At 37.9% G+C, this 21,579-nt stretch overlaps 1 protein-coding gene and 1 long non-coding RNA gene across 51 annotated transcripts in view; one reads left to right on the top strand and one right to left on the bottom strand.

Moving 5' to 3' along the window:
• Positions 1-21,579, bottom strand: part of BIRC6 (baculoviral IAP repeat containing 6) — a 261,856-nt gene that overhangs the window by 40,559 nt on the left and 199,718 nt on the right. For all 50 annotated transcript variants that reach the window (XM_006712055.4, XM_005264451.5, XM_047445167.1 and 47 more), the window contains one exon: positions 2,954-3,164. In XM_006712055.4, the coding sequence (XP_006712118.1) occupies positions 2,954-3,164 (211 nt within the window). The remainder of the gene's footprint in view (positions 1-2,953; positions 3,165-21,579) is intronic.
• BIRC6-AS2 (BIRC6 antisense RNA 2) lies at positions 3,502-20,800 on the top strand. Its single transcript, NR_125793.1, has 2 exons — positions 3,502-3,737; positions 20,448-20,800. It is a non-coding gene; the product is annotated as a BIRC6 antisense RNA 2 (long non-coding RNA).

The raw sequence follows: 21,579 nt of genomic DNA, 5'->3' as shown, positions 1-21,579 counted from the left end.
AACTAAGGCCACTTTCTGTGGGTATACACTGTAAGGGAAAAATGGATTATTTTGTGAACTCTGTTAGAAAAAAAAATACATCTTAAGTTGTGACAACTGGAAAAGAATAGATTTTACTCTCTCTGTGAAGCTGAAAATGAATTCTCTATATGGTAAACCTTGAAAGTAGAGATGTAGTAACATTATTAGTCTTTACCGGTGCCGTCTTATAACAGAGGCTGCACAGATTAGCAGAGACCATGAGGGTTTCAACGAAAAAGTATATTCAAGTCTTAATGCAAAATATAATAATGTTTATCAGTAAAAAGAATTACTAAAAATATGTACTGCACACGGTCACTGTAAAGATAAAATAATCTAATGAAATGAGCTTTACGAACACTCATTATATCTTCACATGCATATTTTGTTGGTACATAGTTTATAAGTCTGAAGAATGTTCTCTGGCTGAAGAATAAAAGAATTTAAATGGAATAATTTCATCCGGTTAATCAAATAGAAAAATAAAGAGCTCCAGTTAATTGAAACTCAGTTATCCTCTATCTGAAATTAAATTTTCATGGTGAATTAACTGGTGTATTTTTATAAAGAAGATTCCTTTCTCAAAAAATTATACAGTGTTATGTGAACAGGAAATAGATTAAGCTAAGAAAAGCAAATAGACCAAAGAGGCACTATAGGTGTCCAAATTTCCTGCAATAAGAATATTCTATAATTACCTTAGAATTCAATACTCTATAACTCCATTTTTGCAGGATCTAATAGAAATTATAGCATAAGGAAATACACAGTTTAAAGAAGGATATTATTATTTACTGGTTTTATTTTCACTTTGTAACACTATAAATGTGTGATACTGTTTTTAATCAAGGCTAAACCTAAAACAACATTCCAAATCATTATGCAATTTTTCATCTAAAAGACAAAATATACCTGGGTAAAAAACACTCAAGGTTTTATAAATTTTCAATTTTAGTTATAAGCTAACAGAGTCATCTCAAAACACAGAAATGTAAGGTACAGAAATACAGGGCAAGATTCCCCTAAAAAGACATGATGGCAGTTTCAAAGCTCAGTATATATTATACATATTGATATACTGAAAACTATGTTTATTCTACAAGAATAAGCAACACAGATGGCCAGGGAAGGGAATAAGATGTTTTAGTAGACACTTCTCAAGGAGGCATTAGCTCAATGAGACAATCAGATGTTCAGTTCAATTATGATACCACACTATTGTTATATTATTACACTAGCTTCCTTGGTTACCAGTGAGAAAGATTCTGGGGGGGGCCACAAGATAGGAGGGGACCAAATACAACACTATTCTCTTCTCTACAAAAGAAAAAATATCACACTATCAAAGAAAATATACCTTTACATTTTCCATTACTAGTAACAGAGTTGTATGAGTCTACAACTTTTTATCTCTACCAACTGGCTCTTCATTTCATCTTTTCTATAATTTATGATTCTGACTGCCTGGCAATGAGCCATCACCACCATATAATTCACCCATGTAATCAAAAACCATTTGTATGCCAAAAGCTATTAAAATAAATGAATAAAGTGATAATGACAACACATTAAGCCAACAAAGTCAGAATTCCTTCACAAGGTGATTTCTCCCTCATAGGCAAAGACTAACAAGAATTATTCTTCCAGTGACCAATTCTCTATGATCTTTTGATCTACACTATTTCTTAAGTCATAGGTTCTTAAAAAATAAGTGAGAAAAAGCAAAGTAAATACAGTAAATACGGTAAATGACATTAATTTACTCAAAAGGTAACTGAAAAAGGAGTAAACTTCCATTAACAGTATAAATGCTTCAAAATTCAGAATTAGGCCATCTTTGAGGAATAAACTGACAACCACTGAACAGATTCTGCCATGAGAAAGGAAAAGGTCACTGAACAGATCCTGCCAAGGGAAAGGAAAAGGTCTCCTAGGTTATTTAAAAAAGAGTTTTGACAGAACTCATCCTCTGAATCTACTAAGGTGTAAACAAACTAAAAATAACAATTCAGTTTTCCTTAAAGATAAGCATTAAGACTTATTTTAATTCCATCAAATACTGAATCCTTTGACTTCTAAAATAAAACAGAAGTAATCCATAAACCTAAGAATTATACTTCTAAGATTCTATCTGCAGAGATTTCTGCAAGCACCAAAAGATGTATGTATGAGGTTATTATGAACTGAAAATAACCTAAAATCTACTAATAAATAGTTAAATAAAATATAGCACCTAAATACAAAGGTGAATTTGAAGTATTTAGAACAATGTCAGTGGTATTTATTGACACTGAAAGATGTCTCTGACATCAACATTATGTGAGAAACTAGCATCTATTTGTCTAACAGGTACAATGGGACACCATTTGGGAAAAACTTCATACCTATAGCTATGAGATCACACAGGGAGATACTGAATAAGCAATTGTGAATAAATGTTTCTAAGTGTATAATTTGGGTGGATACTTTTTCTTTGTATGTTTATTTATTGCTTGTGTGTGAGGGTGTGCATGTTTCTTTCTTTTTTTTTTTTTGAGACGGAGTCTCGCTCTGTCACCCAGGCTGGAGTGCAGTGGCGTGATCTCGGCTCACTGCAACCTCTGCCTCCCGGGTTCACGCCATTCTCCTGCCTCAGCCTCCCGAGCAGCTGGGACTACAGGTGCCCGCCACCATGCCTGGCTAATTTTTTGGTATTTTTAGTAGAGACGGGGTTTCACCATGTTAGCCAGGATGGTCTTGATCTCCTGACCTCGTGATCCATCCACCTCGGCCTCCCACAGTGCTGGGATTACAGGTGTGAGCCACCGCACCCAGCCGAGGGTGTATATGCTTTTAAAAAGCACATATCACTGAAAAACAAAAACACCCATGGAGTTATTTTAAAAACATTGTTAGAGGCAAACTCAAGAGAAATGAACATTGTATATAGTACCTTAAACGGTTGGTATAGGTATCAACACAGGTCTTCATTTTGGCTAACAATGTACCAACAGAAGTTTGACATTCTGACTGTTCTTCTTCCTCTTCACCGTTCTCTGTAGAAAGGGGCAACAATAGGGGCACCATGGCAGCACAAGAAGCAATGGCCCGAAGCAATTCCAGCAGTGCCCGATAGAGTGGCACATGTCTTGCCATGTCCAGAACTATAAGGAGAAGAAGAAAAAGCACAAAATGAGCAAATGTACAATATAAAAGTAGGTCCACAGGAATGTAGCTTTTACCTGGATCTTACCAAGGTCCACAGCTGACCCGGCTGGGCACGCTGGTTCAGGCCTGTAATCTCAGTACTTTGTGAGGCCGAGGCAGGCAGATCACCCGAGGTCGGGAGTTCGAGACCAGCCTGACCAACATGTAGAAACCCTGTCTCTACTAAGAATACAAAAATTAGCCAGGTGGGATGGCGCATGCCTGTAATCTCAGCTACTCGGAGGCTGAGGCAGGAGAACTGTTTGAACCTGGGAGGCGGAGACTATAGTGAGCCAAGATCATGCCATTGCACTCCAGCCTGGGCCACAAGAGTGAAACTCCGTCTCAAAAAAATTACAGCTGACCCTTGAACAACACAGGTTTGAACTGCACTAGTCCACTTATATACAGATTTTCTGCCAGCCTGAGACAGCAAGACCAACCTCATCACTTCTTCCTCATTAGGCTACTCAACATGAAGACTCTGAGTATGAAGACTTTTATGATGATCCACTTCCATTTAATGAACAGTAAATATATTTTCTATGATTTTTTTCTTAATATTTTCTTTTCCTTACCTTACAGTATATAATACATACAACATCCAAAATGTGTTAATTGATTATCAGTAAGGCTTCCAGTCAACAGTAGGCTATTAGGAGCTAAGTTCTGGAAGAGTCAGGAGTTATACTTGGGGCCGGACACTGTGATTCGCGCCCATAATCCCAGACCTTTGGGAGGCCAAGGTGGGAGGATCACTTGAGCCTGGGAGTTTGAGACCGGCCTGGGCAACATGGTAAAACTTCCATCTCTACAAAAAGATAACAAAAAATTAGCTGGGCGTGGTGGCGCACACCTGTAGTCCCTGCAACTGGGGAGGACAAGATCATGCCACTGCACTCCAGCCTGGGTGATAGGGCAAAATCCCGCCTCAAAAAAAAAAAAAAAAAAAGAAAAAGTTATACTTGGATTCTCAAATATGTGGGGGTTGGTACCCTTAATACCTGCATTATTCAAGGGTCAACTTAATAGGTTAGCTGCTAAATGAAAGAATGCAGCAGATATTTAAGAAGCACCAATATACAAACTATAATAATAGGCACTTTTGGAAAACAAAAAAAAGTAAAGTATCAAGTTTAGGGGAGAACAAGAAATGTAACTAAATATCTAGTTATATTACATATAGAAATGATTAAATACACCAGATAATATATTATGGCTGGAAACATATTTATCAGTATGAAGTGGAAACTTTTTTAAACTAAATTGAATGATGAAGTTATTTTATCTTTTGTGAAAACGAATGACAGAATTGCAATTTATCCAGAGTCTATTTCAATAAATCAACTTTCTTTTTAGTAAAAAAGAAAATATTGCCTATGTTAACTTCCAATTACTAGCTATAAATCAAATGAATTTTGTATTAAAATTATTTGTATCTAAGAGTGAATTCCTTACTCGAGGAACACACGTTGCTTCTAAGGCTTTTATAAGTTGTTTTGTTGGGTTTTGTGTTGTATACCAACTGGAATTTACTTTTGTGAATAACGTGAGATAAGGATCTAACATCTCTCTTCCAATGACAGTTACTGAACAGCCATTCCATAAACATTTACTGGCAGGGCGCGGTGACTCACACCTGCAATTTCACCACTTTGAGAGGCTGAGGCTGATGGATCACCGGGGGTCAGGAGTTCGAGACCAGCCTGGCCAACATGGTGAAACCCCGTCTCTACTAAATACGAAAATTAGCTAGGCATGGCGGCACAGGTCTGTAATCCCAGCTACTCAGGAGACTGAGGCAGGAGAATCGCTTGAACTCAAGAGGCGGAGGCTGCAGTGAGCTGAGACCACATACTGCACTCCGGCCTGGGTGACAGAGCAAGACAGTCTCAAAAACAAACAAACAAAAAACATTTACTGAAAACCTGTTGCTGGACAGGCTGGGAATAAGCAGTAAAGAAAACAAACAAAAATCTCTACCATCAAGTATCTAACATTCTAGGCGAAGGACATGAGTTACATTCTTTTCAGAAGCTAGTAAGTATTCTGAATGCTATATAGAAAACTAAAGCAGGGGAGGAGAATTGTGGGAGTCCAACTAGAGGTAGGAATTGCCTCAGTGCCCACAGAGCTATATGGGGATTAAGTTGTAACAGGATGTGGCATCACCTAGCATCCTGTACTTTGTATGGTAACTGATGTGAAAGAGATCTCTACAACTGATGTAAAATAGAGACTATCAGAGCTTAATGACAGTGAGGCTACTTGGAGTGACGTTCAAAGTGATGGAAGAGAAGGTCATTTTACACCTTCCAGTGATGATGCAGAGGACAGGGTAGTATGACTGCCATTCTTTCCTTGTTTCCCCTTGTTTCCACATATACTTGAGTATGAAAGCCCATTTTCCAACCCATGAACAATGTCACAACATCCTACTTACTATAATTTTATAGTATTATAAGATACTATGTTATTCAGGAAAATCAAAATTATATCCAAAAGTTACTAACTGATAGGCATAAAACACAATGTCAGTACTTGTGAGGATGTGGAAAAGCTAGACTCACATATAGGTAAAAGCGCAAACAGGTATAGCCAACTGGCATTATCTATTAAAATTTTAAATGCCTATATTCTATGACTCAATAATAGCACTTGTTACTGTCTACCCTACAAAGAAATGTTCAATACAATACTGTTTTCAATAGGGAAAGCTGGAAATGATCTACCAGTAATACCATAATCAAACAATAACATTCACAGTAATACAATAATAGTGGGAGACTTCAACACCCAACTCACAGCACTAGAAAGATAATTGAGACAGAAAATTAACAAAGAAAACATTGGACTTAAATTGGACTTTGGACTAAATGGACTTAACAGACGTAGGACAGTCTACTCAACAATGACAGTATATACATTCCTTTCACCAACACATGAAACATTCTCCTAGACAGACCACGTTAGTCCATAAAAGGAGTCTTAACAAAATTTTTGAAAATCGAAATCATATCAAGTATCTTCTCAAGACCACAGTGGAATAAAGCTAGAAAACAATACCAACAGGAACATTGGAAGCAGTACAAATACATGGAAATTAAACAGCATGATACTGAATGATCACTGGGTCAACAAAGAAATTAAGGCAAATTTAAAAATTTTTTGAAATGAATGAAAATGAAACGCAACATCAGAAAAACTGTGGGATATAGCAAATGCAGTGCAAAGAGAGAGAAGTGTATAGCCTTAAAAGCCTGCATCAGAAAGTGGGTAACAAATCAACAATCTTACATGTACCTCAAGGAACTAGAAAAGTAAGAACAATCCACACCCAAAGTTAGAATAACACAGAACTAAATGAAATACAGCCCCCCACAACAAAAATATACAAAGCATCAGCAAACTGAAAAGCTGGTTTTCGAAAAGATAAACAAAACTGATAAACTATTAGCTAGACTAACCAAGAAGAGAGAAGATCCAAATAAACAGAATCAGAAATGAAAAAGGAATACAACTGATACTACAGAAATACAAAAGATCAGGGACTATTATGATCAACTCTACACTCAACCTAGAAAACCTAGAGGAAACAAGTAAATTCCTGGAAACATACAACCTCCTGAGATTGAACAAGAAACAAACTGAATTTCTAAACAAACTAATAACAAGCAGTGAGATTCAATCATAATAAAACATCTCCCAACAAAAAAAAAAAAAAAAAAAAAAAAGCCCAGGACCACATGAATTCACAGCCAAATTCTACCAAATATAAAAACAACATACTGATACAAGTCCTCCCAAAACTAAAAAAATTAAGGAGGAGTTTATTCTCTCTAACTCATTTTATGAGGCCGGTAATATGCTGATACCAAAACCAGGCAAAGATATAATAAAAGCAGAAAACTAAAGACCAATATCCCTAATAAAGTCAGACACAAAAATCCAAAACAAAAAACAAGTAAATCAAATCCAACAGCACATCAAAAAGATAATACAATAATGGCATGGTGGTTCACACCTGTAATCCCAACATTTTGGGAGGCTGAGGCAGGAGGATCACTTGAGACCAAGAGATCGAGACAAGCAAGGTCAAAAGAGCAAGAAAACCTGTCTCCACAAAAATAAAATAAAATAAAATAAAATAAGCCAGATGTGATGGCAAAAACCTGTATTCCCAGCTACTTGGGAGGCTAAGGTGGGAGGACTGCTTGAGACCAGGAGTTTGAGGCTAAAGTGGGCTACGATGACACCATTGCACCCTAGCCTGGGCAACAGAGCAAGACCTCAACCCTTAAAAATAAACAAATAGGCCGAGCGTGATGGCTCACACCTGTAACTCCAGCACTTTGGGAGGCCAAGGTGGGTGGAAAACCTGAGGTCAGGAGTTCGAGACCAGCCTGGCCAACATGGTGAAACCCATCTCTACTAAAAATACAAAAATTAGCCGGGTGTTGTGGTGCAAGTCTGTGGTCCCACCTACTTGGGGGTGCTGAGGCAGGAGAATCGCTTGAACCCAGAAAGTGGAGGTTGCAGTGAGCCAGGATAATACCATTGCACTCCAGCCTGGGTGACAGAGCGAGACTCCATCTCAAAACAAACAAACAAACAAACAAACAAATAAATGGCCACGCACTGTAGCTCACACCCGTAATCCCAGCACTTTGGGAGGCCAAGGTGAGTGAATTGCTTGAGGCAAGGAGTTCGAGACCAGCCTGACCAACATGGTGAAACCCTGTGTCTACCCAAAATAAAAAAATTAGCCAGTCTCACAAGCTGATCTCAAAATAAATAAATAAATAACTTTTAAAAAATAAACAACAAAAAAAAGATAATACATCATGATCAAGTATGATTTATCCCAGGGATACAAGGATGGTTCAACACACACAAATCCATAAATGTGACACATCATAACAACATAATAAAGGACAAAAACTCTATAGTCATTTCAATAAATGTTGAAAAAGCATGTGATAAAATTGATATAAATCCCCAATAAACTGGGCATAGAAGGAACACACAGCATAATAAAGGCCATATATGAAAAACCCACAGCTAACACTATACTTAATGGGAAAAAGCTGAAAGCATTCCCTCTAAGAACTGGAACAAGTCAAGAGTTCTCATTTTCACCACTCTTATTCAACATCGTACTGGACATCTTGCCAGAGTAATCAGGCAAGGGAAAAAAAAAAGGCATTCAAACTCAAAAAGCAGGAAGTCAACATTTTCCCTGTTTGCTGAGGATATGATCTAGAAAACCCTAAAGACTCCATGAGAAACTCTTGGATTTGATACATGAATTCAATAAAGATTCAGGATATAAGATTAATATATGAAAACCAGTAATGTTTCTATACACCAATAATCATCTAGCCAAGGATTAAATCAAGAAAGCAATCTCATTTACAATAGCTACAGAAAAAAAAAAAAATGAACAAGTGTGGTGGCTCATGCCTGAAATCACAGCACTTTGGGAGGTCCAGGCTGGAAGACAGCTCGGGTCCAAGGGCTTAAGACCAGCCTGAACAACATAGTAAGACCTTATCTCTACAAAAACCAAAAAGGAAATTAGTCAGGTGTGGTGGTTCATTCCTGTAGTCCCAGCTACTTGGGAAGCTGAGGCAGGAGAATCACTTGAGCCTACCAGGTCGAGGCTACAGTGAGCTCTGATAGCACTACTGTACTCTAGCCTGGGCGACGGAGCAAGACCCTGTCAAATAAAATTAAAAATAAGATAAAATAATAAAATCTAAAACAAAATACCTAGGAATATATTTAACCAAGGAAGTAAAAGGTCTCTATAAGAATAACTACAGGCCAAGTGCGGTGGCTCACGCCTATAATCTCGGCACTTTGGGAGGCTGAGGTGGGGAGATCACTAGGGGCCAGAAGTTCAAGGCCAGTCTGGTCAACACGGCGAAACCCCATCTCTACTAAAATACAAAAATTACCTGGGCCTCGTTGTGGGTGTCTGTAAACCCAGCTACTCGGGAGGCTGAGACACAAGAATCACTTGAACCTGGGAGGCAGAGGTTGCAGTGAGCCCAGATCGCACCACTGCACTTGCACTCCAGCCTGAGCAACGGAGGGAGACTCCATCTCAAAAAAAAAAAAAAAAAGAGAGAGACATGGGAGACTCCTCCAAAAAGTGGGGTTTGAAAAATATCTACTGGGTACAATGTTTACTCTTCCAGTGATGGGTACACTAAAACCCCAGACTTCACACTATGTGCAAGAAATGTGTGCTTTTTTTTTTTTTGAGACTGAGTTTCGCTCCTGTTGCCCAGACTGGAGTGCTATGACATAATCTCGGCTCACTGCAACCTCTGTCTCCAGGGTTCAAGCAATTCTCCTGCTTCAGCCTCCCAAGTGGCTGGGATTACAGGTGCATGCCACCATGCCGGACTAATTTTTGTATTTTTGGTCAAGATGGTGTTTCACCATGTTGGCTTGGCTGGTCTCGAACTACAGATCTCAAGTGACTGCCCGCCTCGAACTCTCGAAGTGCTGAAATTACAGGCGTGAGCCACTGCGCCCAGCCAAAAAAGGTGAACTTCTAAAAAATAACTTTACATTAATATTTATATTATTTTCCTTTTTTTTTTTTTTTTTGCGCCAAGGTCTCACTCTGTTGCCCAGGCTGGAGTGCAATGGTGTAACCATTGCACTTTGTAGCCTTGGCCTCCTGGGCTCAAGGATCCTCCTGCCTCACATTCCAGAGCAGCTGGGATTACAGGCACATGCCACCATGTCCAGTTAATTTTTTCTATTTTTTCGTAGAGTTGGGGTTTCACCATGTTGCCCAGGCTGGTCTCGAACTCCTAAGCTCAGGCAATCTACCTGCCTTGGCCTCCTAACGTGTTACGATTACAGTGATTAATATTTCAAATAGATTATCCTGAAAAAAAAAAAAAAAGATAAAACTTACCTTTTAAGGCTATAGTTTCTTTTGACTATTTCTCTCCTTCTCCATTCTTGTTTGTTTGTTTTTTGAGACGGAGTCTCGCTCTGTTGCCCAGTCTGGAGTGCAGTGGCACAATCTTGACTCACTGCAAGCTCCACCTCCCAGGTTCATGCCATTCTCCTGCCTCAGCCTCCCAAGTAGCTGGGAGTACAGGTGCCCGCCACCATGCCTGGCTAATTTTTTAATTATTATTTTTATTTTTAGTAGAGAAGGGTTTTCACTGTGTTAGCCAGGATGGTCTCGATTTCCTGACCTCGTGATCCACCCACCTCAACCTCCCAAAGTGTTGGGATTACAGGCGTGAGCCACCACACCCGGCCTCCTTCCCCACTCTTTTACCTGGTACATCATTTTGGTATACATCCATCTAATCCATTTTCTATATGATGATGTTTCTCTGTGTGTACTATTATGTGGATTAGGTATTATCATCCCCACTGTGTGTATGAGAAACTAATATTTACTAAGTTGCACAAGCAGCTAAATAGGAAGTAAGAAGACCAACAGTGAAAACTTGGTACATTTAGCTTTAGTGCTTTTCCCATTATCCCATGATACTTCCTGAACTGTCCAGTATGGCAGCTACTGGCCACACGCTATCTAAATTTTAACTAAAATGTAAGAAAACTAAGAATTCAGTTCTTCAGTTGCACTAACCACATTTCAAGTGTCCCATAGCCACACAAGTCCTTAATGAATGGCACAGATACAGAGTGTTTTCATCACAACAAAAAATTCTTTTGGAAAGTAGCATCTTCAAGAGACAAATTCCTGACATTCTGTTTTATAAATACAAGCCAGGAAAGGTATGTGGATATGGGGATTCCCCAAAAGAAAAACATTTTTTTAAAAAAGCATAAGAAGTGGGTAGACCAGGTGTGGTGGCTCACGCCTGTAATCCCAGCAGTGTGGGAGGCCGAGGCAGGTGGATCACCTGAGATCAGGAGTTCAAGACCAGCCTAGCCAACATGGCAAAACCCAGTCTCTACTAAAAATACAAAAACAGCCAGGTGTGGTGGTGTGCGCCTGTAATCCCAGCTAATCGGGAGGCTGAGGCAGGTGAATCGCTTGAACCCTGGAGGCAGAGGTTGCAGTGAGCCAAGATCATGCCACTGTACTCTAGCCTGGGTAACAGAGACTCTGTTTCAAAACAAACAAACAAAAAAAGAAGTGGGAAAAGAGTAATGTCTTCATTCTCAGAAAACTGATTCTCTATTTGGAAAATACGGTAAATCCACAGAAATACTATTAGAATACTAAAGTATGTGGATGCAAAATTCACATAAATGAATACTGTTAATTTTATATAACAATCAACTGTAAAATAGAGAAACTGCACAATAGGAAATACAACAAAAATACACAAAAAAACTTATGATGAAAATATCTATGCTGCAGGACAGAGATGATAGTCTCAATAAACAGGTATATCATATTTACAATGGGCATATACAACAGAATAAAAATGTCAATTAAAAAAATATGTGAGCTGGATGCAGTGGCTCATGCCTATAATCCCAGGATTTGGAAGGCTGGGGCAGAAGCATCGCTAGAGCCCAGGAGCTCAAGACCAGCCTAGGCAATACAGAAAGACCCAATCTCTACACAAAATTTTAAAAATTAGCCAGGTGTGGTAGTGCCCGCCAGTAGTCTCAGCTACTCATGAGGCTGAAGTGGCAGGATCACTTGAGTCCAGGAGGTCGAGGCTGCAGTGAGCCATAATCACACCACTGTACTCCAAGCCTGGGCAAGATCCTGTCTGTATAAAATTTAAAAAATTAGCCGGGCATGGGAAGCTGCAGTTAGTCATGATTACACCACTGCACTCTAGCCTGGGACATAGAGTGAGACCTTATCTCAAAAAAGAACCTATTTATGTTTATTAATATGCAACTGTTTTAATTACTAAATGCCCATTATGTAGCCATAAAAAATTAGAATATGCTTTATGCTGTACTGGAGCAAATTCGCAAGTACTATAATGTCATTTTGGGGTGGGGATAGGACAGTAAGGTATAAAAATGGGTTATATGGTAAACATAACCCATAAATGTTAATAAAAAATAAATGATTATTTGGGTAAACATAAAACAAAACACAAATAACAAAAACATAAAAAGAGGGAGACTATGTGATATGGTTTGGCTGTGTCTCCACCCAAAACTCATCATGCATTGTAGTTCTCATAACCCCCATGTGTCATGGGAGGAACCCAGTGGGAGGTAACTGAATCATGGGGGTGGTTACCTCCATGCTGTCCTCATAATAGTGAGTTCTCACGAGATATGATGGTTTTATAAGGGGCTCTCACTGCGTTGCTCTGCACTTTTCCTTGCTGCTGCCATGTGAAGAAGGACATGTTTGCTTCCCCTTCTGCCATGATTGTAAGTCTCCTGAGGCCTCCCCAGCCCTGCAGAACTATAAGTCAATTAAACCTCTTTCCTTTATAATTCACCCAGTCTCAGGCAGTTCTTTATAGCAGTGTGACAATGAACTAATATGTATTTATATTTACTTGTTATACATAGATTTCCTATAAAGAAATATAAGAAATTAGTAGCACTGGTTAGTACTATCTGTAACTATTAGTACTATTAGTTAGATTAGTACTATAGGGATAACTATAGTTTATCCCTAATGAGCTGTTATTGGTAGGACAGAGGCAGGAAAACAGCTATTTATTAGATACCACCTTAAAGCTTTTGAATTTTAAAATGTGGAGAACAGAATACTTAAGAAAAACCTGATGTAATTTAATTAATAAAATATGTCTTATAGGGGAGAAGTACATGATATTGTATATTTAGGTATGTGTTGAATTTTATAAAAACTAGATACTCCATAGTGTCTAACTTCCTCTTTCTACCCAATATCAAGATAGATGGTTTCTACTTTCAAGAACTTGATGGATACAAAATATTCCACTGTAAGGTTCTAAAACATTTAATTAGTAGGAAAGCTTGAATATTTTACTTGGTTTATGAGAACTCAATTTTTCTTGCTAGCATGAGAGGGAAGATCCCTGCAGATCAGATCCCCAGTGAAACTGGTACATACTCTTTAAAAGAACACAACTATCTAAAATCTCTGGAAGTGGTCCTAACAGTATGCAGCAAATGAAGAAACGTTTATTCAAGAAAATGTACTAAAACTCAGTAAGAAAAGCAAGAGTCTGTGGTATGTGAATCAAGATGCTGCTCCTTTCTTCCCCACCCTCAGCTCAATGAGAAAGAAAAACCACTCTAGCTGGCTACAGCCAAGAACACAGGCCTCCCTCTCCCAGAGGTCCAAGTTGGAAAGCTATGCCTTAGTACAGAGCTGAAAGCCTGCCTTCCTAGCGGGGTGAGGGGCAGGATGTCAGCATTTCCCATCCTACCACAGCAACCTCCTGCTGCTAAGTTAGAAGGTACACATGGCTAAGAAGTTGACATTCAATCCCCTCTTCTAGCCAGCCCCCACTCATGGGGCAGAGAATTTGAAAAGATATTTCTCTGGAAAGGATAGGTGAATAGTCAATGAACACATGAAAATATGCTTAACATACTTAGTCATCAAAGAAATGCAAATTAAAACCACAATGAGATACCATCTCACACCCAGTAAGATTATTGTAATTTTAAAAGTCAGGTAATCCATGTAACTCAACAATTCCATCCTAGGTATATTACCAAAGGAATTCAAAGCAGAAACACCAATAGATATTTGTATGCTAATGCTCACTGCAACATTTTTGCAACTGCCAAAATGCAAAAACAAATAGACATCAACTGATGGAAAAGCAAAATGTAGTACACAGCCATAAAATGGAATGTTGTTCAGCCCGAAGAAGTTATCAACTACTGATACATTCAACATCAATAAACCCTGAAAACATTTTGCTGCATGGAAAAAGCCAATTTAAAAAGACCACATATTATATGATCCAATTTACATAAAATATTCAGAAAAGGCAACTCTATATAAGGATAGAAAGTAGATTATCAGCCGCTTAGTGCTAGAGAAGATGAGGGGATGGAAGATGATAACTAAAGGGTACAGGGTTTGTTTGTTTTTTGTTTTTTGAGACAGAGTTTCACTCTTGTTGCCCAGGCTGGAGTGCAATGGCACAGTCTCAGCTCACTGCAACCTCCGCCTCCCGGGTTCAAGCGATTCTCCTGTCTTAGCCTCCCAAGTAGCTGGGATTACAGGCGCCCACCACCACACTCGGCTCATTTTTTTATTTTTAGTAGAGACAAGGTTCACCATGTTGGCCAGGCTGGTCTCGAACTCCTGACCTCAAGTGATCCGCCCACCTGGGCCTCCCAAAGTGCTGGGATTACAGGCATGAGCAAATGTGCCTGGCCAAGGGTACAGGGTTCTTTATGAGGTGAAAAAAAAAAATTATCAAATTCACTTTGGTAACAGTTGTACACATTTGTGACTATAATAAAAATCAATGAATTGTATACTTTAAATGGGTGAACTGAAGGGTACCGAATTATCAACCATTAAAGCTGTCACTAAAATTTTTTTCTCTTAAGTACTTATTCATATACATTTGCTCCTTTTTATACTGAAATATTTATTTTCTTCAATTGCTTTAAAACACTAATACGAGGAAAAGCACCCAGTAAACATTGCATATATTTTATAAATGTTTTTATTTTTCAAATATAGGAAAACATAAGACTTGAATGTACAATCATGTAGCCTCTTTTCAACTTGAGACTGGCACAATAATGAAGCCTTAGAAAAAACCTTCCCTATTCCACAGTTTTCTCCTGCCCCCCCATTTTAGCTACATCTGCTGGAATGGAATCCACAGTTTTGAATGATTTCCCTGTCTACATCGAAATATTTGAAAAATCAGAATTTATACTGATAAAAATATAGCCAGGTACCCAAAGATTACCATTTGCACTGCTTTATAAACTCATTTAGCAAAGTAGTGCACATAGTATTTCACCGTTCTCAACCCTCTTCATGTAACATACAAAGAGAAACAGAACAGAGGACACATTGTTCCAACCAAAACCCCAGCAAGTTATTTTGTGGCTATCAATCAAATGATTAAGTTTCTATGGAAAGGCAAAATACGTAGCATAGCCAGCACAACATTGAAGAACAAAGTCAGAGGACTGACACTATATGACTTGACCACCTGACTATAATGCTGCGACAATTAAGACAATGTGGTACTCACGAAAGAATAAACAAATAGATCAGTGAAACAAAACTGGGAATAAAAATCTGTATGTGAATGTTTATAGCAGATCTATTCATAAATGCCAAAAAAAGGAAGCAATCAAGATGTTCTTCAAAAGGTGAATGAATAAACACTTACATGTTCATACAATGGAATATTTTTCAGCGATAAAAAAGGAAGCAGCCACCAAGCCATGAAAACACATGGACAAAACTTAAATGTATATTATTAAATGAAAGAAGCCAATCTAAAAGGCTAGATCTTATGATTACAACTATATGACATTCTGAAAAAGGCACAACTATGGAGACAGTACAAAGAACAGTGGTTACCAGAGGTCTGGGGATTAGGAAGGGATGCAGGATTAATAGAATTTCTTAGGGCAGTAAACTCTTCTGTGTGATCCTGTCATGGTGGAATACATAAAATTGCGCATTTGTCAAAACCCACACAACTGTAGAACATAAAGAGCGAACTCGAATTTCAACTATAAATTTAGTTAAAAATAACATACCACTATTAGTTCATCAATTATATGTACTACACTAATGCAAAATATGAATAAGTAAACTGTGAGTAGGAACTGCATATATGGGAACTCTGTACTATCTGCTCAATTTTCTGTGAACCTAAAAATACTCAACAGCAATTTAGATAAAATTATAAAAGAATACAAGTAATACAAGATATGTTTATGTTTTAAAAATTAAATTATTATGAAGGTATTAAGAACAACCAAAACCACAAAATGAGAATCTTCTTCTCCATACATGAATAATGAAGACAGTCTAGCATGCTAAAGTTCAATAAGGAAGAGAAGGGGAAAAAGAGATCCCACAAATTTGCAAGCACAAATATAACTGATAATTCCAATTGTTAAAATCTAGAAATAATAATAATTTTATTTTTTTTTAAGTTGGAGTCTCACTCTGTCACTCAGGCTGGAGTGCAATGGCATGATCTCGGCTCACTGCAACCTTCACCTCCCGGGTTCAACCAATTCTCCTGCCTCAGCCTCCCGAGTAGCTGCGATTACAGGGGCCCACCACCACGCCTGGCTAGTTTTTGTATTTTTAGTAAAGACGGGGTTTCACCATGTTGGCCAGGCTGGTCTCGAACTCCTGACCTCGTGATCCGCCCGCCTCAGCCTCCCAAAGCGCTGGGATTATAGGCGTGAGCACTGCCCCCAGCAAAATCTAGAAATAAATAAATAAATATATATATATATATACATGATTAAAGCATTATTTCTTCATATAAACATAAAAGATAATCCCAGAAACTTTAAAAAAAACTTTAGGTTCAAAAAAAACCTTGAATATAATTTACAACTAAAAAAAAATCAAAATAAAATGAAATCGAACGATTTCAAATTTCATAATTAATGAATACTAATTAGAAAGTATATCACTCATGAGCGGGCACAGTGGCTCATGCCTGTAATCCCAGATATTTGGGAGGCCGAGGTGGGCAGATCATTTGAGGTCAGAAGTTGCAGACCTGCCTGGTTAACATGGTGAAACCCAGCCTCTACTAAAAATACAAAAATTAACCAGGCGTGCTGACACGCCTGTAGACCCAGCTACTCAGGTCGCTGAGGCAGGAGAATCACTTGAGCTTGGGAAGTGGAGGTTGCAGTGAGCCAAGATCGTGCCACTGTCCTCCAGCCTGGGCAACAGAGCTAGACTCCATCTCAAAAAAAGAAAAAAGAAAAAAAAAAAAAAGTATGTTACTTGGAGGTCAATTTTTTTTTTTTTGAGATGTAGTCTCACTCCGTCACCCAGGCTGCAGTGCAATGGCATGGTCTCGGCTCACTGCAACCTCTGTCTCCCGGGTACAAGTTACTCTCCAGCCTCAGCCTCCCAAGTAGCTGGGACTACAGGCACGTGCCACCACGCCCGGCTAATTTTTGTATTTTTAGTAGAGATGGGGTTTCACTATGTTGGCCAGGCTGGTCTCGACCTCCTGACCTCGTGATCCACCCGCCTCGGCCTCCCAAAGTGCTGGGATTACAGGTGTGAGCCACCGCCCCCGGCCTACTTGCAGGTCAATTTATAAAGCACGAGATGTTGCATAAAAAAAAAAAAGTCGGGCACAGTGGCTTATGTATGCAATCCCAGTGACTCAGGAGGCTGAGACAAGAGGATTGCTTAAGGCCAGGAGTTTTGAAACTAGCCTGGGCAACATAATGAGAACCTATTTCTACAAAAAATTTTAAAACTTAGCTGGGCATGGTGGCAGGTGCCTGTAGTCCCAGCTAATCAGGAGGATGTTTGAGCCTAAGAATTGAAGGCTGCAGTGCCCTATGAGCACACCACTGCACTCCAGCCCGGGTGGCAGAGAAGACTATGACTGAAGAAGAAAAAAGAAAAAATATATAGTTACATTATATTCACATGTAAACAAAAGGGCATAGAGAAAACAACACAGCTCCTCTGAAATAAATGAAACATGCTATTCCCTCTTATTTAACTGGTATATATTTTACTCTATTGAGTTAGCATTAGGAGAGGCCAACTGGGAATCTTACATTATGGAAATAGAAGAAGATATTCTCTTCATATCAAGGAGTATGAAGGCAAAAGCTAGCAAAACAAGGTAATAATAAGCACTGGCACACGAGACTGGGAATAGTCCAAAAAATGTGAGAGATAAAATTGTGTGTTTATTTTACAAAAATCTTTAAAATTTTAAAAAGAACTTTAAATTTCATTACTGTACTTTAAAAAATATCTCAAGATATCAAATTTCTTCATTTTAAACTAAAAATATCAAGTTTTTTGTATTTCTGTATTTTTCTTGACAACCATTAGTTACGTAAGTATGCTTTTCTTTAAGTCAAATTCTATATTAATGCATATGACAATCTATGCCTATGTCTGGAACCTGACATGTGTTATTTATATCGGATTTATTATTATTGTTGTCATTATTTTTTTGAGATGAAGTCTCACCCTGTTGCCCAGGCTGGAGTGCAGTGGCGTGATCTCGGCTCACTGCAACCTCCGCCTCCCGGGTTCAGGCAATTCTCCTGCCTCAGCCTTCCAAGCAGCTGGGATAACAGGCACCCGCCACTACACCTGGCTAATTTTTTTGTATTTTCAGTAGAGACAGGGTTTCACCATGTTGGCCAGGCAAACCCTTGAACTCAGGTGATCCACCGGCCTTGGCCTCCCAAAGTGCTGGGATTACAGGTGTGAGCCACTGTGCCGGCCTTATTTTTTTTTTTTTTTTAAAGATTTTGAAGACCCCCCCAACCAAGAGGAGAACTTGGAAAACTAATGTAGAGCTGATTTATGCTCTCCTTTTAAGACATGTGCTTTTATTGTAAATTAATGTGTACCGGTGGTCAGCAAGCAACAAGAATGGATAAAGATAATAAACCCTTAATAAAAACCTGCCTGTTAAAGCACAAAACAACATAAAAACTACTTCAATCTTGAATTCTTTCATTCTATTTTTGCCATGAAGAGCTTCATCAGAAAACCCTTAGATGTCTTCAAATTTAGCTCCTTTACACATACTTCATTGTTATTACAGGATTCAATGTGCGCCTGCCTGACAAAGAACAGAGGCACAACACGCTGTTATGCAACACCATGTCTCCAAGTGCAGCTTGCAGCTCCTTTACTCAGCAAGCACCAAATGCATGTTTAATCAGTGTTACAGCTTACAACCAGGCAAGTGAAGTCACTATCCTTCCAATCCTCAAAAGGGCCTGTTTGCTGATTTATGCATAGCTTGAAGACTATCTTGGAATTGTCATCAACAGCTACAGATGCGGGTGTGTGACATTACAAAACTTATGCCAATAAACAATTTTTTTCATTTTTATAGTAGTAACTGGTAGTAGGGAGAGGAATAAAATCACTTTCTGCATTTGGAACTAAAACATTTCAATGGGGAAAAGTATCTTCAAACAGCTGAAAAGAAAAAGAACAGTGTAAAGGTTCATCAGACAGAAAATTCAAAAGAAATAACCATAAACATTAGCATTTTGGAGGAAATATGTGATTCAGCATATAAAAAACCTAAAAAAACTAAAAAATAGAGCCTATTTACAGTGTGACTTACTTGCAGAGGCTAGCAATTTACATCAAATAGTTACAGTGAAATTTACCACAGATTACTAACAGCGAAGATACATCCCTTCAGGATATACTGAAAACATTTGCCATCTTTGATATGAAGCTTGTTCAGCTTTTGTTCACAAGCCCTCCGTGAAGAGAAAAGGTTCATTCATCACTATTGTGGACTAAAGCAACATATCTGATAACACTTTACTCCTGATGCAATGTAGGGTAAGCAGCACTTCTCTTTTAATTATTTTAAAACTCTGACATTTAGTAACTCCATTATTTTAAGCTTAAATATGTGATGTGTTTAATCTGTGGAAATAAATCTTTTATTAAGAGATAAACTCTGCTATTAATTGCTTTTTCAAAATATTAGTAAAATGGAATTAATTTCAATACTAGATTATAAAATTAATGACACAATGATCCTCTAATCTTCAAAGGAAAAAATTATTTAAATCCCTATTCTGCTCAACTGCTCCCCAAAAGAGTTGCTTTAAAAAGGAGTTGATGTTCTAAACTTACCGAATTGTATACACTAAGTATGTGTAGTTTTTTGTATATAAATTGCAGTTCACATTAAATACATCAGCCTAGTTAGATACGTAAAAATTTTTAAGTATCTAAGTAAATACAGAATACGTAAATGGCAGAATCTAACTTCTACATTTTCATTATATTTTCGGCTCTTCAGCCCAAATGTTAAAAACAACAGATTTTAAATTCTATTAAAATACACTCATTTACTATCATTTTCCAACACGTTAACAGACTAAAGTAGGACTGCACACTGAAAAACTACGCAAGAAATGCAACATGTATAATAAATACATTTACTAGCTCTCTGCTAGTAAATACATTTTCTAGTATTTACTAGCTAGTATTTCTTTTCTAGCAATTTTCTAGTATTTACTAGTATTTTCTAGCAATTTTCTAGTATGTACTAGTATTTGTAATAAATACATTTTCTAGCAATTTGCTTCACAATCATTCTCTTTTTCTCTAGATGAAGACATTTTCTGGGAAAACTGGTACTTCTGTCATCACTACAGCAGAAGATGTTAAGAAGCAAGAAGAGAAGAAAAAGAAGAATCTATCTTGACTATGTTAGGTATAGCTGGAACAGTACTTAACCTCTTAGTGATTGTTTTGGTCTACATCCATACCACACTCTGAAGGTCTCGTTCAAGGGACTGCATTCAGGGCAAAACCTGGCTCTAACAAGAAAGATTTAGAAACTATCCTTTAAAAGCACACCTCCAGAATATTAAGACATACATCCCAGGGTAACTCCCTTGCTCTAAGAGCAATTACTATATGATGCTTCCAGTTTGAGGAATAAAATTATAACAAAGCAAACAGGTAAATTTTAACTTTACACAGAGGAAAAAAACAGGACAAAGCAATGAATATGGACACTGAAGATGGACTACTCCAAAACATACAAGATTTAGTAACGTATACAAGACACAACAGCAAAAATGCTACAACCATTTTTCTAAGAGTACATATAAAATACACATTAATTAAAATAAAACTGCATTTAGGTTTGTGTTTTCCTTAAGCCTCTAGTAATCTACTGAATACAGGAAAGGGAAATTTAGTCAGTATAGGAAAGAAGACTATGAAAATGTTTAGAAAAATGAAGTTTTAGTTAGCATTAATGAACACTGAATATTTTAAAAACTGTCTTTGGAAATTATATTTTAGTAACTCCAAAGAAATGAGCCTTAGCGTGACTTTTGGTAGTTAAGCAGTTGTAAAGATAAGGCCACATAGAAAAATAAAGACTACATAGAAAAGAAACTTTCTTGTTTCAATAAAATATTGACATTATTTCTCTGATAAATGTGGGTAATACAAAATAAAACTACCATTGTTAACATTTTAATATATTCTCTAAGTAAACTGGAGTAACTCTTTCTTTCTTTTTGTTTTTTGAGATGGAGTCTTGCTCTGTCACTTAGGTTGGAATGCAGTGGCTCGTTCTTGACTCACTGCAACCTCTGCCTCCCGGCTTCAAGCAATTCTTGTGCCTCAACCTCCCAAGTAGCTGGGACTACAGGTGCCCGTCCACCACACCCGGCTAATTTTTGTATTTTTAGTTTTGCTATGTTGGCCAGGCCGGGCTCGAACTC

This window comes from Homo sapiens, chromosome 2, assembly GCF_000001405.40.
Source record: "Homo sapiens chromosome 2, GRCh38.p14 Primary Assembly".
Lineage (NCBI taxonomy): Eukaryota > Metazoa > Chordata > Mammalia > Primates > Hominidae > Homo > Homo sapiens.
The sequence above is the reverse complement of the archived record's forward strand: the minus strand, read 5'-3'. Positions and strand labels throughout refer to the sequence as shown.